The following is a 26,770-nucleotide window of genomic DNA, read 5'->3' as shown; positions in this document are numbered from 1 at the left end:
TTCAGGTCTTAGGTTTAGGCCTTTAATCCACCTTGAATTAATTTTTGGGTCTGGTTAGAGATAGAGATCCAGTTTCATTCTTCTACATGTGGCTTTTTCTCCCAGCACCATTTATTAAATAATGTGTACTTTCTCCAGTGTATGTTTTTGTATCCTTTCTCAAAGATCATTTACTTGTAAGTGGCTTTTTTTTCTGGCTTGTCTATTCTGTTCCATTGATCTATGTATCTACTTTTATACCAGTACCATGCTGTTTTTGTTACTGTAGCCTTAGAGTGTAATTTGAAGTCAGGTAATGTGATGCCAACATATTTGTTCCTTTTGCTTGATATGTCTGTTGCTATTCAGGCTCTTTTGTGGTTCTACATAAATGTCAGCAGTTTTTTTAAATAATTCTATGAAGAATGACATTGGTATTTTGATAGGAATTGTATCAAACCTGTAGACTGTTTTGGGCACTATGGTCATTTTCACAATATCAATTCTTTCAACCCATGAACATAGGATGTATTTTCATTTGTGTCATCTATTATTTTCTTCAGTGATGTTTTCCATTTATCCTTATATAGATCACTCACCTCCTTCATTAAGTATATTCCTAGGTATTTTACAGTTTTGCAGCCATTGTAAAAGGGTTTGAGTTCTTCATATTATCTCAGCTTTGTTGTAGTTGGTGTATAGTGGTGATACTGATTGGTATTCATTTATTTTGTAACCTCTGAGACTTTACTGAATTCATTTATCAAATCTAGGAGTGTTTTGTAGGAGTCTTTAGAGTTTTCTAGGTATAAGAGCATATCATTGCTGAAGAGATAGTTTGACTTCCTCTTTTCCAATTTGGATGCCCTTTATTTCTTTTGCCCAATTTCTCTGCCTAGGACTTCCCAGTTTTATTCTTAATATTCATGAAATGAAAAGTAAAATGGAAAGGGATTAGTTTATTTCACATCTTTCATACACAGATAAAATTAATTCAAAGTTCTATGTTAAAAACACATGTTATTCTTCATTGTTTAAATACTAGACCATGCCTTGTTCCAAAAGGAATTTCTAAGTTGTTTATAAAACATATAGGAATCAAGAATATAAATGGAAAGTGTTTCCAGAAAGTAAACATAAAAAGTATGGGTTAACACAGGGGTTCCCAATCCCCAGGACAAGGACCAGTACCAGTCCCTGGCCTGTTAGGAATTGGACCACACAGCAGAAGGTTAGGGGCAGGTGAGTAAGCGAAGCTTTATCTGTGTTTACAGCCACTCCCCATCACTTGCATTACCACCTGAGCTCTTCCTCCCGTCAGATCAGCGGTGGCAATAGATTGTCAAGAAGTGTGACCTGAACCCTGTAGTAAGCTGCTCATGCAGGGGATCTAGGTTGTGCACTCCTTATGAGAATCTAATGCCTGATGATCTGTCACTGTCTCCTGTCACTCCTAGATGGGACCATGTAGTTGCAGGAAAACAAGCTCAAGGTTCCCACTGATTCTACGTTATGGTGAGTTATATAATTATTTCATTATATATTACAATCAGTAATAATAGAAATAAAGTACACAATAAATGTAACGTGCTTGAATCATCCTGGAATCATCCCCCCACCTCAGGTCCGAGGAAAAATTATCTTCCAAAGAGCCAGTCCCTGGTGCCAACATGGTTGGGGACAGCTGGATTAACAGATGTGAGACCCCTTTGCCTTGTCTTGGATTAATCTGCAGATATACATTCTGTGAATGACATCTGATGGTGCCATCTTGCCCTGTAAATCATTTTAGGGATACCTCCAGTATTTCATGAAAATAAAATTTCTTCTAGTGAATTTATAAACTTGTTTAAGTACTATGTTCTTTTTAATTAGTTAATTTGAAATGATCTGTCATAATTGAGAAGTTCCTATGGCTGTGTGAAAAGAGATAATTTTCAACTTGTAAGTTAACTGAATAATTTCTAATATCCTTTTTCATAATGTTTATTGGAATTACTAGTAACAGAAACTCATCAATTAGCAAGTTGTTCTTTCCTCACTACATTTCAAGTATTTGTCCCTTGGAAAAGATTGAAGGAAGAAATTAAAAGCATGAGAACTGGAAAGAAAAAATAGTCAAGAACACAGAAATTTTATTTGTATAATAAACCTATTCAGGAAGAGCCACATCACAAAATAAACTTTTTTATTTTCTAACAAAATTAATTTTAATGTAACTATATTTAACTGTATAGATTGACCTTAAAACAAGAAGAAGAAAAGAGAAAGGATGCTGATATGTTGTATAAAAAAGGTAGTGAAGAGTTAAAAAGAAAAGAAGAGGAATATGGGAAAGATGTTGAAATTAACCAACAACTGAAACGGACTCTGAAAACACGAGCCATGGAATTGAGGACAGTAAGAAAGAATTTGGATCAGGTAAATTTCTGATGAAAACTTTATATTTCCAACTTTATATTTCATCAATATTACTTATATTCCTTTGATTTAATGTAGTATGTTATTTAGGTGTAAACACACCAAAACTGTTATCTAATTTTTATAATGAGCTATGACATTTATAGTTACAATTATTTTATTGTAAACCTTGGGATCTCAATCTGTGTTTTCAGAATAAAGAAATGGAGGATAAGTTGAGTTTAATCACTAACATAAATGCTCATTTATGGATTTTTATATTAAAATACAGGCTAAATAGCTTTCAAACTAAAATGTGTTAAATGTTTTGAAAGAAATTTTATTACACAATACTGTATCTTTATATAGGTAAGAAGTGTTTCTCCTCGTAGAGAAATTTAGCTCTCATGTATGCAATTAAAATTTGAATGATTCTTGAGGGTTAAAAATTTTTGTGTTTTAATAGGCTACTTTCTTTTAACAGTTTTATAATAGAGGTTCTGCTCTTTTAGACTTTGTTTTTCAGTCCTATTAAACCAAAAATGTACTGTATCTGTAGTTTGTGCAGGAATGAAATGATACCCAGAAGCAACTTTCCGAAGAATATAATGCTAGAATATTACTAGATGAGATACTGACTAACAAACAAAAGCAGATAAAAGTGGCTGAAAAGAAAATGAATTCTGAGATATTTTTCTTAGCCATTTTCAAATGTTTCTATATCTGTATATATTTGAAAAACCAACTATGTATTTTGGAAAGTATAAAGGATTTTTAAATCATATATATATACACACACATACAAGTATGTATATATACATGTGTATATATATATATATTCTATATATTCTTTATCATATATCTATACATGTATATATAAGATAAAGCTATGTTCTTAATTCAGCTCCATTTGCCTGCAGCGGTCGAATGGTGACGTTTACAATGGCCTCAATCCAAAGGAGAAGCATTTGATATTTTTCAATTTACAATTTCCAAAATAAGTTTTACTACTAACAACAGATTTTCTAGTTTTTGGACATTAGTTCATCTTCTTAACATATTAATGGAGAAGTCAGTTTATTCATAAAAGGAAGGTTTGTTCAGAAAAAGTTTATACAGAAAGTTTATTCAGAAAAAATTCATTCAGAAAATTTATTCAGAAAAGTCAGCTGATTCACAAAAAGGAAATTAAAGAACTTTGAGAAATTGCATCTATCCAAATATATGCATAGCTAAGGCTCTTACAGTGGTGTGGTTTATAGATTATAGGTGGTTATCAAGAGGGTATACCCAATTTTAAAAATATAGTCAAATGTATTAATCTTATATTTTATGCCTCTGGGTTTTTTTGTAATTCAGAGAAAGGCTTTTCCAATTCTGAGATTCTTAAAAATCCTCTAGTGATTTATTTTTCATGGTCTTTAAATAGATATTTAAACTTTTGGGAATTTACACTCTCTTAGGTTTGAAGTTTTGTCCAACGTTTTTTCCAGTTAAATATTCACTGTGGGAATTCTTTCATTATACAAATATACAGGTTACTCTTTAATTTCAGAAGAAATTATAACATGCCATTCTATTGAGTACTAACTAAAAGTTTCCTTTGTTTACTTAGATTTCTCTTAGCCATAAGAAAGAAAAAGGTCTCTTGCATGAAAATAGCATGTTGCAGGAAGAAATTGCCATGCTAAGACTGGAACTGGATACAATAAAACATCAGAATGAGATAAAGGAAAAGAAATATTTTGAGGACATTGAAAGTGTGAAAGAAGAGCATGATAATCTTCTAAAGGCTATAACATTGAATGAGGAAGCATTAGCAAAAACAGTATTTCAGTACAATGGACAGCTTAGCATTTTGACAACTGAGAATAAAATGCTCAGTTCTGAACTGAAGAATGTAAAACACAACAAGGAATGACTGGAAACAGAAATTCAATCATTTCATGATAGACTGGTTGCTGCTTTACATGATTGTGACCAAAGTCAGATAGCAGAAAGAGAGTCTTTCCAGAGAACAAGACATGAATGGGTTTATTTATAGGAGACAGTGAATTTTCATATGTCTAACCTAAAAGATAACAGTGAGATTCTTTCTGAACAACTCTCTAATGCTGACAGTAAAATTAACACCCTAAAAATTAAGCCCCATCACACAAGATAAACTCTGAGAGAAAAGATGGGGCAGGCTACCATCTTTCCTGTTTGGGCAACTTAGCCATTCCAGCCTGCTGGCTTTGGAGAGTACAAACTGACCAGGGGCAGAAGAGATCCCGCAGCACAGCACAGCTGCTTTACCAAATCATGGCCAGATTGCTTCTGTAAGCAGGCCCCTGATGCTGTTCCTCCTCACTGGACAGGACCTCCCAACTGGGTCCTCCAGCTACCCCCACCAGTATTCTCCAGCCAACAGAGATTTGAAACCCCCACTAGGACAGAGTTACCAGAGGAGAGGGGCAGCCACCACCTTTGAAGTTTGGGGGACTAGCCGTTCTGGCCTTCAGGCTTTGGAGAGCCCAAGCTGACCCGGGTGGAAGTAGTACCCCAGCACAGCACAGCCACCCTACGAAAACATAGCCAGCCTCTTTTTTAAGTCAGTCCCTGACCACGTTTCTCATCACTGGGTGGAGCCTTTCAACCAGGGTCTCTGGCTACCTTCACTGCTGTTCTCTGGCTGACAGAGGTTTCAGGCCCCCTGGGTCAGAGCTCCCAGCGGGAGGACCAGACTGTCATCTTTGCTGTTTGGGTGACTTAGCCATTTCAGCCTTAGGGCTTCAGAGTGTCTGAGGCGACCAGGGGCTGAAGTAAACCCCCAGCACAGCACAGCTGCTCTGCAAAAATGTGGCCAGACCTTTTTTTTTTAAATTATTTATTATTATTATTATACTTTAAGTTTTAGGGAGCATGTGCACAATATGCAGGTTAGTTACATATGTATACATGTACCATGCTGGTGCGCTGCACCCACTAACTCGTCATCTAGCATTGGGTATATCTCCCAATGCTATCCCTCCCCCCTCCCCCCACCCCACAACAGTCCCCAGAGTGTGATGTTCCCCTTCCTGTGTCCATGTGGTCTCATTGTTCAATTCCCACCTATGAGTGAGAATATGCGGTGTTTGGTTTCTTGTTCTTGCGATAGTTTACTGAGAATGATGATTTCCAGTTTCATCCATGTCCCTACAAAGGACATGAACTCATCATTTTTATGGCTGCATAGTATTCCATGGTGTATATGTGCCACATTTTCTTAATCCAGTCTATCATTGTTGGACATTTGGGTTGGTTCCAAGTCTTTGCTATTGTGAATAATGCCACAATAAACATACATGTGCATGTTTCTTTATAGCAGCATGATTTATAGTCATTTGGGTATATACCCAGCAATGGGATGGCTGGGTCAAATGGTATTTCTAGTTCTAGATCCCTGAGGAATTGCCACACTGACTTCCACAATGGTTGAACCAGTTTACAGTCCCACCAACAGTGTAAAAGTGTTCCTATTTCTCCACATCCTCTCCAGCACCTGTTGTTTCCTGACTTTTTAATGATCGCCTTTCTAACTGGTGTGAGATGGTATCTCATTGTGGTTTTGATTTGCATTTCTCTGATGGCCAGTGATGGTGAGCATTTTTTCATGTGTTTTTTGGCTGCATAAATGTCTTCTTTTGAGAAGTTTCTGTTCATGTCCTTTGCTCACTTTTTGATGGGATTGTTTGTTTTTTTCTTGTAAATTTGTTTGAGTTCATTGTAGATTCTGGATTAGCCCTTTGTCAGTTGAGCAGACCTCTTTTTTAAGCAAGTCCCTGTTCTTGTTCCTCCTGTCTAGGCAAGACTTCTCAACTTGCCTCCAGCCACCTCCTATAGGTGTGTTCAAATTGGCAACAGGTTCGTACCTCAGTGGTACAGAACTCCCAGAGGAAGGGGCAGGCTGTCGTCTTTGCCTTTTCGCAGGCTTCACTGGTGATAGCATCAGGCACTGGAAAATCTGAGGCAGCTAGGGACTGAAGTGGACTCCCAGCATGCCACAGCAGCCCTATGGAAAAGTGGCCAGACAGTTACGTGGGTGCCAGTTTCCATATCTCCTTGATGGGCAGGTCCTCCTGGCCTGAGTCTCTAGACAACCCCCGACCGAAGCTATCAAGCCAGTAGCAACTTGGCAGTTCCCTGGACAGTGCTTCCAGGAGCAACTGAAATCCTCTCTGCCACTGCCTCTGAAGTGGAACTGTCCTTGCTACCCTCAGAATATCAAGGAAGCAAAGACTTTAAGTGCTGTATCGACACCTCCCATAAGCTGAAGTTGGCTCAAGGAGCATGTCAGCCCATCTTCCACGGGTCCCACACACCCTCCACTGCTCATTACCAGACAGCGAACCCTGGCTTGGCCCGCGGCACAGACCCTCCAACCTGGCTGATTGCACTTAGTAATTGCTAACTCACATCTCTCTGGGGTAGAGCCACCAGGAGGCAAGCAAAGTGGTGGAGCAGCAAGCCAGCTCATGTGGAGCCTGGAGGTCAGGGACAGCTATCTAAGCTCCACTTGCTCTTCTGAGACACTTTACCCCAGCACTTTAGGAGTGCTGAGGTCAGACCAACCACATCTCACGTGTTAAGATTGCCCAGCAGAGATCAGGTCTGAGAGTTCGCTTCTTAATAAAGGGGACTTGCTTAAAAAAGAAGTCTGGCCACATTTCCGTAGAGCAGCTTTGCTGTGCTGGGTCTTTACTTTTGAGAGAGTTCTCCTCTCAGACCTGATATCTGCTGGGCAGTCTTGTACATGAGATGGGGCAGGTCTGACCTGAGCAATCCTTAGTCTGCTTGCCTCTCCCAGGGCCCCAGCCTGGCCACACTTGCTTACAGGGCACTCTTGGGTGCCCACACCATAGCTTCTGTGCCAGTGGACTGTGCTTGACCAGTGGAGAGCTCAGCAATGTGGCCCCTACAGGCATGCACCAGCCTGCACATTGCCTCTCCATACTGCAGCTCTTCTTTATATGGAAACTTCCTATATCACTTTGCTGGTGTGTGTCTACACAGGTGGGTTTTGCTGTACTTGCCCTACCAGCACACGGGAGTGCAGCCACACACCCCAACACATGTCAACTGCTATTGACGATGGAGCTATGGTGGGCACAGAGCCAAAAATGCCCACCCTGCCAGCACCTTGCCCTTGAGCTAATGCTGTACAGAGAAAAGGGGACCCTCTTATACCCTAAGCAACTGCTGTTGCTTGGTGGGCACAGAGAAGGCACCCAGACCTGCACTTGCCAGCACCCCACCCCAAACCAATACCTCCTCCAGTGCAACAGCACACACAGTCAGCAGGGCCCCCCTGGCCCCCCCACCCCAGCTGTCTTGCTTCCACTACTGGGTGAATGCCTGCAGGGAGGCAGGCACTTTTGCATCTGTTAGCACTCTGCTGCAGCTGCTGCGCTTTGGTCCCCCAGTACAGTGGGGACTTCAAACCTGGAGGAGGCAGGGAACAAAGTTGGGGCCCAATACAAGTTCCCCATGTTAAAGCACACAGTCCAGGAATTGGGAGCTGAGTGTTGGCCCCCTAAAATCCTCCAGAAACAAAGCCAGTTGGCTGAATCCACCTTACACCACAATCAAACTCTCAAAGTCATCAAATATGATAAAAAAAAATACCCTGTCCAAAGGTCAGCAACCTCAAAAGTTGAAGGTGTGGTAAGCCCATAATGATGAGAAAGAATCTGTGCAAGAACACTGAAAACTCAAAAAGTCAGCATGCCTTCTTTCCTCCAAATGACTGTGTCAACTCTCCAGCAAGTGTTCAGAACTGGGCTAAGGCTGAGATGTCTGAAATGATACAAGTAGAATTCAGAATATGGGTAGGAACAAAGTTCACTGAGTGAAAGAAGTATGTTGTAATCCAATGCAAGGGAGCTAAAAATCATTGTAAAACATTGCAGGAGCTAACAGACAAAATAGCCAGTATAAAGAAGAACATAACCAACCTGATAGAGCTGAAAAGCAAACTACAAGAATTTTGATAACGCAGTCACATGGTGATTGTGTGTGATTGCATTATGAAAATTCTTTTAGTGTGTGTGGGCACCCAAGAGTGCCCTGTAAGCAGGTGTGGCCAGGCTGGGGCCCTGGGAGAGGCAAGCAGACTAAGGAGTGCTGAGGTCAGACCAGCCCCATCTCATGTGCAAGACCAACTAGCAGAATAGAACAAGAAGAAAAAAGAATCTCAGAGCTTGAAAACTGGCTTTTTGAAATAAAACATGCAGACAAGAATGGGGGAAAAAAGAATGAAAAGGAATGAACAAAATCTTTGAGAAATATGGGATTATGTAAAGAGACCAAATCTATTACTGATTAATATATCTGAAAGATGAGAATGGAACCAACTTGGAAAAATATTTCAGAATATCATTCATGAGAATATTCCCAACCCAGCCAGACAGGCCAACATTCAAATTCAGGAAATCCAGAGAACCCCAGTAAGATATGCCATGAGAAGATCATCCCCAAGACACTTAATCATCAGATTCTCCAGGGTCAAAATGAAAGAAAAAAATGTTAAAAGCAGCTAGGGAGAAAGGTGAGGTCACCTACAAAGGGAATCCCAACAGACTTACAGCAGACTTCTCAGCTCAAACCCTACAAGCCAGAAGAGATTGTAGGGCCCAATATTGAACTTATTAAAAGAAGTTTCAACCCAGAATTTCATGTCCAGCCAAACTAAGCTTCATAAATGAAGAAATAGGATCCTTTTCAGAGAAGCAAATGCTGAGGGAATTCATTACCACCAGACCTGCCTTAAAACAGCTCCTGAAGGAAGCACTAACTACAGAAAGAAAAGACTATCACCAGCCACTACAAAAACGCACTGAAGTACACAGACCAGTGATGCTAAAAACCACAGACAAGTCTGCAGAATAAGCAGCCAACAGCATGATGACAGGATGAAATCCACACATATCATTACTAACCTTAAATGTAAATGGGCTAAATGCTCCAAATGAAAGACAGAGGGGCAAGCTGGATAAAGAACCAAGACCCATTTGAGTATTCTGTTTTCAAGAGACCCATCACACATGCGATGCCACACATAGGCTCAAAATAAAGGAATGGAGAAAAATCTTTCAAGCAAATGGAAAACAGGAGAAAGCAGGTGTTGCAATCCTATCCTGACAAAACAAACTTTATACCAATAAAGATTAAAAAAAAGGCAGAGAAGGACATTACAAAGATGGCCCTGACCTTTGATAAATCTTTTATTTTTGCTTGATACCAACCTGGGTTATCTTTATTTCTCAAGCCAATAGGCTAATTTGTGGAGCTTGGGGAGCTTCTCCCCTCCAGAGAGTCCCTGATCTCCCAAAATTTGGTTGCTATTTGAAGTTATTTTGCTGTACAACTCCTTTTCTGAAGTTTTACTCATTTCCAACAAGGAAGGCAAGTTTTCCTGCTTCCATGACGATGGAGAGCAGGCACCTTCTTTCTTGAGTTTCAACTTGCTTCTGACAGAGAAGGTGAGTGTGAGTTTTTTCCTGCCTCTCTATGATGGTAGAGAGCGATCATCAGCCTGAGCTTTATTTCCAGGTAAGTAGCTGAATTAGAGTTTTGTCTTAAAAATGTTCCTTAATGACTAAAAGTTAAGATTACCAACCAGCTGGTTTTAATTTCTCCTTACTGTTAGAACACTTGGTATTCATATGAATTTGTTTGTTTTGCTAAACTGTTTTTGTTTATGTTTGGGGTTTTGTTGTTTCACATTTCTCCCATGAAGTATGACCATCTTTTCCTGACTTGGTCACATCCAAAGGAATGTTCCAAATTGTGGGGAACAAAGCATCTGAATTGGCTAAAACTCCGGTAGCTGCAAAAAGAAAAAAAAATCCAGTTAGCAGAAAGGACTTTTTAAAACTTTTTTTTTTTTTAACCTATGAGGTTTCATCTATGTAACAAGGCCATCTTTTGCTAGCCAAGGCCAAACTGAAAGAGCAGTGGTGGCCACCCAATGCTAAGATTCTGCCCTGTTCACCACAGCAACCTCAGTTTGGTTCCTAAGTCTAGTTCTTTCTGGTTTGGTATTTGTGTTACTTTAAAAATACCAGCAGTTTGTCCTAGCTATGATATGGTAGTAAAATATTTAAAAGGATTTTTTTTAAGAACTCCTTGATTAGAAGTCAACTTAATTAAAAGCAAATTTCTAATATGTATATAATTATATTTAAACATAATTACATATATGTTCTAAATATATACATATATTTATATATAAACAAATACACATATGTATGTTAGAAATATGTGTTTATATATCATTATTTTTCTATTACATATACATATATTTGTGTGTGTGTGTATCTAAAAGGCCTTTCTGTGGATCTTGTTTTTTGAAAAATATTTGTTTTTCTTCTCATTCAACTGAATTATAACTCTCCATTTTACTTATGTCTGTCCCTTTTTTCTCTTGCCACCCTTGATGCCCACATAAAAGATCTAAAATAATTTCTGATAGCCTGATTGCTTACAAAAGAAGGCACCAGACTTCTTTTTGGGAGGAACCACTATTTTTGTTTATCAAATCCCATGAGTTGTAAACAGACAAGTTTTTTGCAGATATTAAACTGCTCACTTTTTAAATTGCATTGCTGGATCGTAATGGCTTTTGAGGGTGTCAAAAATCACTTTGCACAATGGGAAAGTTTTTGACTTTGGTGTGTGTAATAGCTAGGTAAGAGATATATTTTTTAGGGCAGCTTATTGGAAGAGATAGTATGCTTTTGGCCACCTGGAAGGTATGGAAACATCCCAACCCCCTACTGAATAGTGATACTGCCATGGGATATGAGCTGATTATTGAATGGGCTAATTGGCTTTTGTTGGCCACCAACCTCAGGGGAAATGTACTTGTAGTGAAATGCATGGTAAAAACATGGCATTGTCTCATCTCATAATGTTTTCCTCTTTTGAGGTCCTGAGGATTTTCTGTAAAAATGTAGTCCTTGATTTTTAGATATCTGTTCTGCCTTACAGCTCTGCCTGCATGTTAGGCCCTAGAAACTGCATGATTCCTTGGCCCTGTTTCTTAAAAAGCTCCACCCTAAAGCCAGTAAATGAAAAATCTTATGAATCCCTAAGATCTACTTCTGTGTGTCTATATGTCTAAATGTTTATATGACAAATGTATATAATGATTGAGTACCAAAAATATATAAAAGGGCTCTAATTGGCTTTTAAAAAGTTCTTAAATATTTTATCAGAAGATTAGAAACTTATACCCAAGTACTTTTTCAAGTTCATGTGACTTAAGTAGAATTTTAGCCTATAAGCTGTCTTTAAATTCATTGGTAAAAAGAAAATTCAAAATGTCTTCACAATTGTCAGCATACATTGTGGTTTAGATGTATTGGTCAAGTAGTTTTTTTCGTTTTTCTTTTTTTAAATTTTCTTGTCAAGTGGTTTTGTATTCATCTCAGCAACTATAAGATGTCAAAATTTGGCACAAAGGTTATAAATTATAAACCCAGCAGAAAACAAGGATTTTTGTTCATGTAATTTTTGATAAATAAGGCATTTAATATATTTTTTATTATACTTTAAGTTTTAGGGTACATGTGCACAATGTGCAGGTTACTTACATATGTATACATGTGCCATGTTGGTGTGCTGCACCCATTAACTTATCACTTAACATTAGGTATATCTCCTAATGCTATCCCTCCCCCCTCCCCCCACCCCACAACAGGCCCTGGTTTGTGATGTTCCCTTCCTGTGTCCATGTGTTCTCATTGTTCAATTCTCACCTATGAGTGAGAACATGTGCTGTTTGTTTTTTTGTCCTTGCGATAGTTTGCTGAGAATGATGGTTTCCAGCTTCATCCATGTCCCTACAAAGGACATGAACTCATCCTTTTTTATGGCTGCATAGTATTCCATGGTGTATATGTGCCACATTTTCTTAATCCAGTCTATCATTGTTGGACATTTGGGTTGGTGCCAAGTCTTTGCTATTGTGAATAGTGCCACAGTAAACATACATGTGCATGTGTCTTTATAGCAGCAGCATGATTTATAATCCTTTGGGTATATACCCAGTAATGGGATGGCTGGGTCAAATGGTATTTCTAGTTCTAGATCCCTGAGGAATTGCCACACTGACTTCCACAATGGTTGAGCTAATTTACAGTCCCACCAACAGTGTAAAAGTTCTCCTTATTCTCCACATCCTCTCCAGCACCTATTGTTTCCTGACTCTTTTTTTTTAACTTTTTGTTTTAAATTTTATTATTATTATACTTTAAGTTTTAGGGTACATGTGCACAACGTGCAGGTTTCTTACATATGTGTACATGTGCCATGTTGGTGTGCTGCACCCATTAACTCGTCATTTAGCATTAGGTATATCTCCTAATGCTATCCCTACCCCCTACCCCTACCCCACAACAGTTCCTGGTGTGTGATGTTCCCCTTCCTGTGTCCATGTGTTCTCATTGTTCAATTCCCACCCATGAGTGAGATAATGCGTTGTTTGGTTTTTTTGTCCTTGCGATAGTTTGCTGAGAATGATGGTTTCCAGTTTCATCTATGTCCCCACAAAGGACATGAACTCATCATTTTTTATGGCTGCATAGTATTCCATGGTGAATATGTGCCACATTTTCTTAATCCAGTCTATCATTGTTGGACATTTGGGTTGGTTTCAAGTCTTTGCTATTGTGAATAGTGCCACTATAAACATATGTGTGCATGTGTCTTTATAGCAGCATGATTTATAGTCCTTTGGGTATATACCCAGTAATGGGATGGCTGGGTCAAATGGTGTTTCTAGTACTAGATCCCTGAGGAATCACCACACTGACTTCCACAATGGTTGAACTAGTTTACAGTCCCACCAACAGTGTAAAAGTGTTCCTATTTCTCCACATCCTCTCCAGCACCTGTTGTTTCCTGAATTAATTTTTGTATAAGGTGTAAGGGAGGGATCCAGGTTCAGCTTTCTACATATGGCTAGCCAGTTTTCCCAGCACCATTTATTAAATAGGGAATCCTTTCCCGATTGCTTGTTTTTCTCAGGTTTGTCAAAGATCAGATAGTTGTAGATATGCAGCATTATTTCTGAGGGCTCTGTTCTGTTCCATTGATCTATATCTCTGTTTTGGTACCAGTACCATGCTGTTTTGGTTACTGTAGTCTTGTAGTATAGTTTGAAGTCAGGTAGCATGATGCCTCCAGCTTTGTTCTTTCGGCTTAGGATTGACTTGGCAATGTGGGCTCTTTTTTGGTTACATATGAACTTTAGTTTTTTCCAATTCTGTGAAGAAAGTCATTGGTAGCTTGATGGGGATGGCATTGAATCTATAAATTACGTTGGGCAGTATGGCCATTTTCACGATATTGATTCTTCCTACCCATGAGCATGAAATGTTCTTCCATTTGTTTGTATCCTCTTTTATTTCATTGAGCAGTGATTTGTAGTTCTCCTTGAAGAGGTCCTTCACATCCCTTGTAAGTTGGATTCCTAGGTATTTTATTCTCTTTGAAGCAATTGTGAATGGGAGTTCACTCATGATTTGGCTCTCTGTTTGTTGTTGGTGTATAAGAATGCTTGTGATTTTTGTACATTGATTTTGTATCCTGAGACTTTGCTGAAGTTGCTTATCAGCTTGAGGAGACTTTGGGCTGAGATGATGGGGTTTTCTAGATACACAATCATGTCATCTGCAAACAGGGTCAATTTGACTTCCTTTTTCCTAGTTGATTGCCCTTTATTTCCTTCTCCTGCCTGATTGCCCTGGCCAGAACTTCCAACACTATGTTGAATAGGAGTGGTGAGAGAGGGCATCCCTGTCTTGTGCCAGTTTTCAAAGGGAATGCTTCCAGTTTTTGCCAATTCAGTATGATATTGGCTGTGGGTTTGTCATAGATAGTTCTTATTATTTTGAGATACGTCCCATCAATACCTAATTTATTGAGAGTTCTTAGCATGAAGGTTGTTGAATTTTGTCAAAGCCCTTTTCTGCATCTATTGAGATAATCATGTGGTTTTTGTCTTTGGTTCTGTTTATATGCTGGATTACATTTATTGATTTGCATATGTTGAACCAGCCTTGCATCCCAGGGATGAAGCCCACTTGATCATGGTGGATAAGCTTTTTGACGTGCTGCTGCATTCGGTTTGCCAGTATTTTATTGAGGATTTTTGCATCAATGTTCATCAAGGATATTGGTCTGAAATTCTCTTTTTTTGTTGTGTCTCTGCCAGGCTTTGGTATCAGGATGATGCTGGCCTCATAAAATGAGTTAGGGAGGATTCCCTCTGTTTCTATTGATTTGAATAGTTTCAGAAGGAATGGTACCAGCTCCTCCTTGTACCTGTGGTAGAATTTGGCTGTGAATCTATCTGGTGCTGGACTTTTTTTGTTTGGTAAGCTATCAATTATTGCCTCAATTTCAGAGCCTGTTATTGGTCTATTCAGAGATTCAACTTCTTCCTGGTTTAGTCTTGGGAGAGTGTATGTGTCGAGGAATTTATCCATTTCTTCTAGATTTTCTAGTTTATTTGTGTAGAGGTGTTTACAGTATTCTCTGATGGTAGTTTGTATTTCTGTGGGATCGGTGGTGATAACTCCTTTGTAATTTTTAATTGCATCTATTTGATTCTTCTCTCTTTTCTTCTTTATTAGTCTGCTAGCAGTCTATCAATTTTGTTGATCTTTTCAAAAAACCAGCTCCTGGATTCATTGATGTTTTGAAGGGCTTTTCGTGTCTCTATTTCCTTCAGTTTTGCTCTGATCTTTGCTATTTCTTGCCTTCTGCTAGCTTTTGAATGTGTTTGCTCTTGCTTTTCTAGTTCTTTTAATTGTGATGTTAGTGTGTCAATTTTAGATCTTTCCTGCTTTCTCTTGTGGGCATTTAGTGCTATCAATTTCCCTTTACACACTGCTTTGAATGCGTCCCAGAGATTCTGGTATGTTGTGTCTTTGTTTTCATTGGTTTCAAAGAACATCTTTATTTCTGCCTTCATTTCGTTATGTACCCAGTAGTCATTCAGGAGCAGGTTGTTCAGTTTCCATGTAGTTGAGCGGTTTTGAGTGAGATTCTTAATTCTGAGTTCTAGTTTGATTGCAGTGTGGTCTGAGAGACAGTTTGTTATAATTTCTGTTCTTTTACATTCGCTGGGGAGTGCTTTACTTCCAACTATGTGGTCAATTTTGGAATAGGTGTGTTTTGGTGCTGAAAAGAATGTATATTCTGTTGATTTATGGTGGAGAGTTCTGTGGATGTCTATTAGGTCTGCTTGGTGCAGAGCTGAGTTCAATTCCTGGATATCCTTGTTAACTTTCTGTCTCGTTGATCTGTCTAATGTTGACAGTGGGGTGTTAAAGTCTCCCATTATTATTTTGTGGGAGGGTAAGTCTCTTTCTGGGTCTCTAAGGACTTGCTTTATGAATCTGGGTGCTCCTGTGTTGGGTGCATATATATTTAGGATAGTTAGCTCTTCTTGTTGGATTGATCCCTTTACCATTATGTAATGACCTTCTTTGTCTCTTTTGATCTTTGTTGGCTTAAAGTCTGTTTTATCAGAAACTAGGATTGCAACCCCTGCCTTTTTTGTTTTCCATTTGCTTGGTAGATCTTCCTGCATCCCTTTATTTTGAGCCTATGTGTGTCTCTGCATGTGAGATGGGTTTCCTGAATACAGCACACTGATGGGTCTTGACTCTTTATCCAATTTGCCAGTCTTGTGTCTTTTAATTGGAGGATTTAGCCCATTTACATTTAAGGTTAATATTGTTATGTGTGCATTTGATCCTGTCATTTTGACGTTAGCTGGTTATTTTGCTCGTTAGTTGATGCAGTTTCTTCCTAGCCTCGATGGTCTTTACTATTTGGCATGTTTTTGCAGTGGCTGGCATCATTTGTTCCTTTCCATGTTTAGTGCTTCCTTCAGGAGCTCTTGTAGGGCAGGCCTGATGGTGACAAAATCTCTCAGCTTTTGCTGGTCTGTAAAGGATTTTATTTTTCCTTCACTTATGAAGCTTAGTTTGGCTGGATATGAAATTCTGGGTTGAAAAATCGTTTCTTTAAGAATGTTGAATATTGGCCCCCACTCTCTTCTGGCTTATAGAGTTTTTGCCGAGAGATCCGCTGTTAGACTGATGGGCTTCCTTTTGTGGGTGCCCCGACATTTCTCTGTGGCTGCCCTTAACATTTTTTCCTTCATTTCAACTTTGGTGAATCTGACAATTATGTGTCTTGGAGTTGCTCTTCTCAAGGAGTATCTTTGTGGCGTTGTCTGTATTTCCTAAATTTGAATGTTGGTCTGCCTTGCTAGATTGGGGAAGTTCTCCTGGATAATATGCTGCAGAGTATTTTCCAGTCTGGTTCCATTCTCCCCGTCACTTTCAGGTACACCAATGAGACGTAGATTTGGTCTTTTCACATAGTCTCATATTTCTTGGAGGCTTTGCTCATTTCTTTTTATTCTTTTTTCTCTAAACTTCTCTTCTCCCTTCATTTCATTCATTTGATCTTCCATCACTGATACCCTTTCTTCCAGTTGATCGAATCAGCTACTGAGGCTTGTGGATTCGTCATGTAGTTCTCGTGCCATGGGTTTTAGCTCCATCTGGTCCTTTAAGGACTTCTCTGCATGGGTTATTCTAGTTAGCCGTTCATCTAATTTTTTTTTCAGGGTTTTTAGGTTCTTAGTCATAGGTTCGAACTTCCTCCTTTAGCTCGGTGTAATTTGATTGTCTCAAGCCTTCTTCTCTTGACTCATCAAAGTCATTCTCCATCCAGCTTTGTTCCATTGCTGGTGAGGAGCTGCGTTCCTTTGGAGGAGGAGAGGTGCTCTGATTTTTAGAGTTTCCAGTTTTTCTGCTCTGTTTTTTCCCCATCTTTGTGGTTTTATCTACCTTTGGTCTTCGATGATGGTGACATACAGATGGGGTTTTGGTGTGGATGTCCTTTCTGTTTGTCAGTTTTCCTTCTAACAGTCAGGACCCTCAGCTGCAGGTCTGTTGGAGTTTGCTGGAGGTCCACTCCAGACCCTGTTTGCCTGGGTATCAGCAGCAGCGGCTGCAGAACAGCAGATATTGGTGAACCACAAATGCTGCTGCCTGATCGTTCCTCTGGAAGCTTTGTCTCAGAGGAGTACCCGGCCGTGTGAGGTGTCAGTGTGCCTCTACTGGGGGTGACTCCCAGTTAGGCTTCTCGGGGGTCAGGGACCCAGTTGAGGAGGCAGTCTGTCCATTCTCAGATCTCAAGCTGGGTGTTGGGAGAACCACTATGCTCTTCAAAGCTGTCACACAGGAACATTTAAGTCTGCAGAGGTTTCTGCTGCCTTTTGTTTCTCTATGCCCTGCCCCCAGAGGTGGAGTCTACAGAGGCAGTCAGGCCTCCTTGAGCTGCAGTGGGCTCCACCCAGTTCAAGCTTCCTGGCTGCTTTGTTTACCTACTCAAGCCTCAGCAATGGCAGGTGCCCCTCCCCCAGACTTGCTGCCGCCTTGCAGTTTGATCTCAGTCTGTTGTGCTAGCAATGAGCGAGGCTCTGTGGGCGTAGGACCCTCTGAGCCAGGAGCGGGATATAATCTCCTGGTGTGCCGTTTGTTAAGACTATTGGAAAATGCAGTATTGAGCTGGGAGTGACCCGATTTTCTAGGTACCGTCTGTCACAGCTTTGCTTGGCTAGGAAAGGGAATTCCCTGACCCCTTGCGCTTCCTGGGTGTAGCGATGCCTCACCCTGCTTTGGCTCATGCTCGGTGCACTGCATCCACTGTCCTGCACCCACTGTCCAACACTTCCCAGTAAGATGAACCCAGTACCTCAGTTGGAAATGCAGAAATCACCCGTCTTCTGCGTCGCTCATGCTGGGAGTTGTAGACTGGAGCTGTTCTTATTTGGCCATCTTGGCTCCACCCCAAGACATTTAATATTGTTGATTTAATGGAAACAACTCAATCCAGAGTTATCAGTAAGAGAAACCTATTAATAAGAAATTAGGTAAATGTAATAGAATGAAAGCTTATAAATGAACATGTCATATAAGTTAAATCTTAATGTTGTATCAAATAATAGATATTAAATGTCTGGGTCATTATCAATTGTTAAATTACATCATTAAAAACATTTTCAAAATAATTATAAGATGTTTCTCACTGTCCAGGCATGGTGGCTCACATATGTGATCCCAGAACTTTGGGAGGCAGATCATGAGGTCAGGAATTTGAGACCAACCTTACAAATATGGTGAAATCCCATCTCTACTAAAAATATAAAAATTAGCTGGGAGTGGTGGTACATGCCTGTATTCCCAGCTACTCAGGAGGCTAAGGCAGGAGAATTGCTTGAACCCAGGAGGCAGAGGTTGCAGTGATCCAAGATTGTGCCATTGCACCCCTGCCTGGGGACAAAGCAAACCTCCGTCTCAAGAAAAAAAAAAAAAAAGATTATACACCCTTATAAAGTGCTGATGTGACAATTAAAGATTTCCTGCTTCCTAGGTTTTCACAAAAAATTATTACAAAAAATCAAAATTTTAATTAATTTGTGATTTTACATATAAAGTGTGCCAAAATAAGAAGTATTCCAATGAAACAAGAAAAATTGTAGGAAAAAATGAAATTAAGAAATGATAAGAAATAAAATGAAAGTAATTGTCCAATTCAAAGTTTATTAAAAGATTTCTTATATAACAAGATAAAGGAAACCATTAAGAGAGAGATTTAAAGAAAGTTAAGTTATAAAGAGGTATTTTTGTTAACAAAGATTAAAAGGAAAATAATTTTCATTCTCAGTAAACTGTCGCAAGAACAAAAAACCAAACACCGCATATTCTCACTCATAGGTGGGAATTGAACAATGAGATCACATGGACACAGGAAGGGGAATATCACACTGTGGGGACTGTGGTGGGGTGGGGGGAGGGGGGAGGGATAGCATTGGGAGATATACGTAATGCTAGATGATGAGTTAGTGGGTGCAGCACACCAGCATGGCACATGTATACATATGTAACTAACCTGCACAATGTGCACATGTACTCTAAAACTTAAAGTATAATAAAAAAAAAAGAGAAGAAAAAGAAAAAGAATCTTGTATGATAGATTTTTATCCTAAAATGAAATGGCTGGTTATTTAAGAAAGAGTATGTTTAGGACAAAACAGAAAGTCCAAGTGTGTTATAATTGGTCTGTGTAATAAGCTTCATTAAAAAAAGAATTTATTTTAAAATTGTGTATGCAATTCTGTTGGCTAGAATGGAAAGGAAATTATTCATAATAACCTTTCTAAAAAATTGGACTTTGTTTTTTTATTATTATACTGTAAGTTCTGGGATACATGTGCAGAACCTGCAGGTTTGTTACATAGGTATACAAATGCCATGGTGGTTTGCTGCACCCATCAACCTGTCATCTACATTAGGTATTTCTCCTAATGCTATCCCTCCTCTAACCCCCCACCCCTCGAGATGCCCTGGTTTGCGATGTTGCCCTCCCTAAGTCCATGTGTTCTCATTGTTCAGCTCCCACTTATGAGTGAGAACATGCAGTGTTTGGTTTTTTGTTCCTGTATTAGTTTGCAGAGAATGATGGTTTCCAGCTTCATCCATGTCCCTGCAAAGGACATGAACTCATCCTTTTTTATGGCTGCATAGTATTCCATGGTGTGTGTGTGTCACATTTTCTTTATATAGTCTATCATTGATGGGCATTTGGGTTGGTTCCAAGTCTTTGCTATTGTGAACAGTGCTGCAATAAACATACATGTACATGTGTGTTTATAGTAGAATTATTTATAATTTTTTGGGTACACACCCAGTAATGGGATTGCTGGGTCAAATGGTATTTCTGGTTCTAGATCCTTGAGGAGTCGCCACACTGTCTTCCACAGTGGTTGAACTAATTTACACTCCCACCAACAGTATAAAAGCATTTCTGTTTATCCACATCCTCTCCAGCATATGTTGTTTTCTGACTTTTTAATGATAACCATTCTAACTGACGTGAGATGGTATCTCATTGTGATTTTGATTTGCATTTCTCTAATGACCAGTGATGATGAGCTTTTTTTCATATATTTGTTGGCTGCATAAATGTCTTCTTTTGAGAAGTGTCTGTTCATATCCTTCACCCACTTATTGATGGTTTTTTTTTTTATTGTAAATTTGTTTAAGTTCTTTATAGATTCTGGATATTAGCACTTTATCAGATGGATAAATTGCAAAATTTTTCTCCCATTCTGTAGGTTGCCTGTTCAGTCTGATAGTTTCTTTTGCTTTGTGGCAGCTTTTTAGTTGAGCCCATTTGTAAATTTTGGCTTTTGTTGCCATTGCTTTTGGTGTTTTAGTCATGAAGTCTTTGCCCATGCCTGTGTCCTGAATGGTATTGCCTAGGTTTTCTTCTAGGGTTTTTATGGTTTTAGGTCTTATTAAGTCTTTAGTCCATCTTGAGTTAATTTTTGTATAAGGTGTAAGGAAGGGATCCAGTTTCAGTTTTCTGCATATGGCTAGCCAGTTTCCCCAGCACTATTTATTAAATAGGAAATCCTCTCCCCATTGCCTGTTTTTGTCAGGTTTTTCAATGATCAGATGATTTGTAGATGTTTGGCATTATTTCTGAGGCCCCTGTTCTGTTCCATTGGTCTATATATCTATTTTGGTACCAGTACCATGGTGTTTTTGTTGCTGTAGCCTTGTAGTGTAGTTTGAAATCAGGTAGCGTGATGTCTCCAGCTTTGTTCTTTTTGCTTAGGATTGTCTTGGCTATATGGGATATTTTTTGGTTTCATATGAAATTTAAAGTGGTTTTTGTAATTCTGTGAAGAAAGTCAATAGTAGCTTGATGGGGATTGCATTGAATATATAAATTACTTTGGGCAGTATTGCCATTTTCACAATATTGATTCTTTTTATGCATGAACATGAAATGTTTTTCTGTTTGTTTGTGTCCCCTTTTATTTCCTTGAGCAGTGGGTTGTAGTTCTCCTTGAAGAGGTCCTTCCCACTATTTGTAAGTTGTAATCCTAGGTATTTTATTCTCTTTGTAGCAATTGTGAATGGGAGTTCATTCATGATTTGGCTCTCTGTTCATCTATTATTGGTGTATAGGAATGCTTGTGATTTTTGCACATTGATTTTGTATCGTGAGACTTTGTTAAAGTTGCTTATCAGCTTAAGGAGATTCTGAGCTGAGATGATGGGTTTTTCTAAATATACAATCATGTCATCTGCAGAGACAATTTTACATCCTCTTTTCCTATTTGAATACTCTTTATTTCTTTCTCTTGCCTGATTGTCGTAGCCAGGACTTCCAATAATATGTTGAATAGGAGTGGTGAGAGAGGACATCATTTTCTTGTGTCGGTTTTCAAAGGGAATGCTTCTAGCTTTTGCCCATTCGGTATGATATTGGCTGTGGGTTTGTTATAAATAGCTTTTATTATTTTGAGATAGGTTCCATCAATACCTAGTTTATTGAGAGTTTTTAGCATGAAGGGATGTTGAATTTTATTGAAGGCCTTTTTTGCATCTATTGAGAAAATCATGTGGTTTTTGTCATTGGTTCTGTTTATAAGATGGATTACATTTATTGATTTACATATGTTGGACCAGCCTTGCATATCAGGGATGAAGCAAACTTGATCGTGGTAGATAAGCTTTTTGATATATTGCTGGATTTGGTTTGCCAGTATTTCATTGAGGATTTTCACATCGATGCTCATCAGGGATATTGGCCTGAAATTCTTTTTTTGTTGTGTATCTGCCAGGTTTTGGTATCAGGATAATGCTGGTCTCATAAAATGAGTTAGGGAGGAGTTCCTCTTTTTCTATTGTTTGGAATAGTTTCAGAAGGAATGATACCAGCTCCTCTTTGTACCTCTGGTAGAATTCAGCTGTCAATCTGTCTGGTCCTGGGCTTTTTTTGGTTGGTAGGCTATTACTGCCTCCATTTCAGAATTTGTTATTGGTCTATTCAGGGATTCGACATCTTCCTGGTTTAGTCTTGGGAGGGTGTATGTGTGCAGCTTTTGGTGTTGCTTTTCTGCAACTGCCATTTGCCATTGATGATAATTCTTCATTTCCTCTGGGAGTGTAAGAGGGAGAGGATGCAGTCCTCTTTGGGAGACCAAGGCAAGTGGATCGCCTGAGCTCAGGAGTTCAAAATCAGCCTGTGGGCAATATGGCAATACCCCTTCTCTGCAAATAGTTCAAAGTAATTTGGTTTGTTGGCATGTACCTGTAGTCCCAGCTACTTGGGGGCCAAGGCAGTAGGATTGCTTTAGCCCAGGAGGTCGAGGCTGCAGTGAGTGGGGATGGTGCCATGGCACTCCAGCCTGGGTAACAAAGTGAGACCCTGTCTCAAAACAAAAAACAAAAAACAAAAATGCTTTCATGTGATACTGGGCTAGACCTGTATATAAACACATAAATACTAAATTATTTTTTCTCTATCTTAATATAATTTGTTCTATGCCTTAATACTAGATAATTTAAATGTTTAGCTACCTGTGAGTTCTTTTTCTGTCATTGTCAGAGCTAGCAGGGCTTATGTCCTTTGTGTTTAAATATTTTGAATTCTGGGCCAGACACGGTGGCTCACATCTGTAATCCCAGCTTTGGGAGGCCAAGACAGGTAGACTACTTGAGGTAGGAGTTCGAGGCCAGCCTGGTCAATGTGGTGAAATCCTGTCTCTACTAAAAATACAAAAATTAGCTGGATGTAGTGGCATGTGCCTGTAGTCCTAGCTTTTGGGATGAGAGGTAGGAGGATTACTTGAACCTGGGAGGCGGAAGTTCCAGGGAGCTGAGATCATCCCACTTCACTCCAGCCTGGGTGACAGAGTGAAACTGTCAAAAAAAAAAGTCAATTCTATATATAGCTTATAAAATTGGGTAAAACAACAAAAATTACCTTTCTCTACGTGTTATCTCCAAAATTTAAAACTATTATAAATCCCACTGGGCCCAATCCATTTTTATTGCTAATGTTCCATTGCTAAAACTATATAAACACCTTTTCTCAAACGTGCAAGTACTCTTGTAGAAAAGTTGAGCATATGGGACTTTAAGGACCAGTTTTGAGGGATAAAATTAGTTTAGCTTCTTCAAATAAAGGACAGGCGCCCATGCCTAAACAGCTGACAAAATGAGAAACTGCCTCCTGGGTTCTTTCCATCCATCCCAACTATAAAGAATTTTCTACTCTCCATAAAATTGAAAGAAAATTACTGAGAGGGGGATATTAAGATACTTAGTGACAAAGTCTAATGGGTAGAATGCTCCAAGTTATGAAACTTATACAGATAAATACAGAAAGCTCTTTTAAAATCAGCCATCTTAGTATAAATTACTAAAAAGACCACACAAAAATCTTTGTGGCATAACAAAAGTCTTAATATGATTGTGTTTCACATAGCTAATTACTACAGTGTGTAACTAAAACCAAAATTATGCTAGCTCATCACATAGAAATTAAAAGAAAAACTTCAGCTGAATTAAACTTAAAAATTTACTGGAGCAATGAATGATTTGCGAATTGGTCTGCCTCCTGAGCCAGAGTAGACTCAGGCTCAGTGCAGCCACATGGTGGAAGAATGTTTATGGACAGAAAAAGGAAAGTGATATACAGAAAATTGAAGTTAGGTACAGAAACAGCTGGATTGGTTACAGCTCAATGTTTGCCTTATTTGAACATGATTTGAACAGTTGTCTACATTTGATTGGCCTAATCTCAGTGATTGGCACAAATGTAGGGTGTAGTCTGTTTATACTTTTACTTGTTATAGTTCAAGTACAGGGAAACCTTTGACCTTAACCTTTAGGCCAAACTTAACATTTGTAAGGAGGAAGCTTTAGGCTAAACTTTAACAGTTTCCCTCTTTTGGTCATCTTCTCAATTTTGAGAGATTGGTCATATTTTAGTCATTGATGTTCCTATTACTATTGTGTGTGTACTTATTTGATCTTGAAACCCATTGGGAAGTAGTAGAACAGTGGGTTTTGTAAGGTGGAAACAGGGACTTCAGATTATTTGATTTTTTTGTAAGGGTTTGAGTAGAGGGTACCTCCTTATGCTGGAACATCCTTTTTATAGGAGGAAAAAAAAACAAAAACAAAAAACAAAACCTAGTCTGTTCTAGGATGTGTGTTTTTCCTTAAAGTTTTAGTTTGATTATGTCATATTTAGCATGAGTGACTCAATTTTGGTTTGGTTCAATCTGGTCTGTTGGGGCATAATGCATGAACTCAGTCTAAAACAATAGCCTCTCATAATTTTGTTTAAAAATTCCCCCATTTTGGTCAGGTTCTCACTTAGGTGATTGACACTGTGGCCAAAACTTAGGGTCTTAGTGCTACTCTCAGTTACCATCACTTTGGGTTTCTGGTCTCAACATGTTACTTATAGGTTACAGTGTCCTCATGGTCACACACTTTTTTCAGCTCTTGTCATTCCAGTTGAAGAGAGACCATTTGACATTATAGAGTTGGCTGCATGGAAGCATTTAAAATTTTAAGGAGAATACAGTGTGCCAGGAAGACTATAGTGTATCAGAAAGATAATAACAAGAGTTTGGAGTAGTTAGTTACTTAAGGTCCTCATAAACCAAACCACCTAAAATCCAAAGAATGGGCTAAAGAGTTTGCTCACTTAAGTAAGCAGTCTCTTCATTAATGTCCGACAGCTGAATATAATACCTATTGTGATGTATTTCTTCATAGGCCACACGTGCCAGCAGCTGCACAGTTACTTCTCTGTTTAGCCAGTAAGTCATCTAGAGCAATTCTATTATTTAGCTTAGCTTTCCCAAGGGAATTTAAAGTCTGTTTTGTAACTTTAGCCTTTACAGTAGAATGTGCTATAGAACCTATCATGAGAGATACATTTGAAATCATTGCCTCTTTTACTTTAAACCATGGGAAAAATAGGACCTAACAAATGATGCCCTCCTAGAAGAGTGAAGGCTTCCTGGCAATATTCTCTTTAACCCATGATGTAGGTTAAGAGGAGTGAATAAATGTCTGTTTCCAACTGATTATGAGGCAACATATGTACCATTAAAATTTCTCACATTTGGCCTTCATCTTCCATCCATCAAGGTATAAAGTTATCCAGATGTGAGGGCGATATGGCTCTGACATCTCTTACCTCATTGATCTCCAGGTTTGATTTGGCTGATTTGGCTAGCTAGGCAGGTGTCCCCTTCCTCTCTCACTACTCCATGTGCATCCCTTTTGAAGCTGCATAGGAGGACCATTTTTTGGTCAAGGGTATATGACTAGCTGCAGTCCTCTGCTAGAACCTCCAAACAAGCTCCCAAGGTTTAAGGTTTTATATATATATAAGACTGGCTACAAAATCTTTCACAGATAAAAGTATACCCCATGAGTGTGCACAACAGATCCCCCTTTTCATGTCTATTGTTTATAGAGGCATTAGCAAGGGCAAAAATATTCAGAGTCTCATGATAGAAAAGTCTTGATCTGTGATCTTGGGAAAAGGTGTTCACATCAAGTATGCCATCTTCTGGGAGAAACTTCTCTGGTTAGCTTTACTTTAAGGGTTCCAGTGGGTGTACAGTTCCAAGACTGTGGAGGGACCCTTCTTTGTGGTGCTTTGCTGCAGTGTGGATGTTAAAGGCAGTCTTTCTCTGATGTTCTCAGAAGATCCAATCTTCAGGCTCCAGATTGTGAAGGGGTGTTGATTATTCTCAGTCAGTGAATCATAAAAAGCTTTCTTTTATGTGGTGAAAATACAGTGTGACATAATAATCTACTGTTATAACATCAGGTCTTTTTCATGGGACAGCTTTTATACAACCAGAAAACATGCATTGAAAATGATAATTCAATGAAATCCCTTTATAAATGTTGAAATGGCCTATCAGGTAGTGGAATGTATCTGAAGCTTTGATTGTCTTTCCAGGAATATGAGTTTGACAAACAAACATTGGTCATAAACTATTTTAGCAATTTAGAATTCACCACGCCAATATATATTTAACTTGGATTATTTTATCTTTTCTATGATGAGTCATGGAATGCAGAAATTTTAATAATGAAAGTTTTATGGATGGACTCAGGAAAGACAAGGCAGCTGTCCTGTTCTCCATGAGTCCATGCTTAACATTGAACTTATGCCCTCTTGAATACCAGTTGTTTCTCCAATTTAGGTTCATAGCACTAATAACAGATGGGTTTTCATAGGTAATTTGACTTAGAACATGGAATTCATTGAATTGTATATCTAAACAATTTCAGTATTGGCTTATTTAGCATGAAGTTCTGACAAAGTGTTTTCTTGTTATTCAATTAATTTTTGTTCTTCGTGAGTAGGAGTTTTAAAAACAAGTAAGTCTTTTCATTAAAGTTACAAGAATTCTTTTTTTTTTTTTTTTTTTTTTTGA

General features: G+C 38.8%; 1 protein-coding gene, 1 long non-coding RNA gene and 1 pseudogene across 4 annotated transcripts in view; 2 read left to right on the top strand and 1 right to left on the bottom strand.

The window, feature by feature from the left end:
* The first annotated feature begins 1,109 nt into the window (after positions 1 to 1,109).
* Positions 1,110 to 5,725, top strand: LOC105375816 (putative coiled-coil domain-containing protein 144C). 2 transcript variants are annotated; one of them, XR_928846.3, is made up of 3 exons: positions 1,110 to 1,494; positions 2,217 to 2,400; positions 3,995 to 5,725. XR_928846.3 is itself a non-coding variant. In XM_011517651.4 (2 exons), the coding sequence occupies exons 1-2, from the start codon at positions 2,260 to 2,262 to the stop codon at positions 4,298 to 4,300; spliced, it is 447 nt and encodes a 148-aa protein (XP_011515953.1). In that variant the 5' UTR covers positions 1,923 to 2,259; the 3' UTR covers positions 4,301 to 5,217. The 2 variants fall into 2 exon arrangements, 1 of the variants encoding a protein (XP_011515953.1); XM_011517651.4 differs by lacking the exon at positions 1,110 to 1,494 and having other exon boundaries at positions 1,923 to 2,400; positions 3,995 to 5,217.
* A 3,883-nt stretch (positions 5,726 to 9,608) lies between these two features.
* Positions 9,609 to 26,770, bottom strand: part of LOC105375815 (uncharacterized) — an 80,550-nt gene continuing 63,388 nt past the window's right edge. For both annotated transcript variants that reach the window (XR_928842.3, XR_928841.3), the window contains 2 exons: positions 18,190 to 18,349; positions 9,609 to 10,231 (listed from right to left, as the gene is read on the bottom strand). This is a non-coding gene — a long non-coding RNA (uncharacterized LOC105375815). The remainder of the gene's footprint in view (positions 10,232 to 18,189; positions 18,350 to 26,770) is intronic.
* RN7SKP32 (RN7SK pseudogene 32) lies at positions 25,478 to 25,780 on the top strand (annotated as a pseudogene).

The sequence above is a fragment of the Homo sapiens genome, chromosome 8 (genome assembly GCF_000001405.40).
Source record: "Homo sapiens chromosome 8, GRCh38.p14 Primary Assembly".
NCBI lineage: Eukaryota > Metazoa > Chordata > Mammalia > Primates > Hominidae > Homo > Homo sapiens.
The sequence above is the reverse complement of the archived record's forward strand: the minus strand, read 5'-3'. Positions and strand labels throughout refer to the sequence as shown.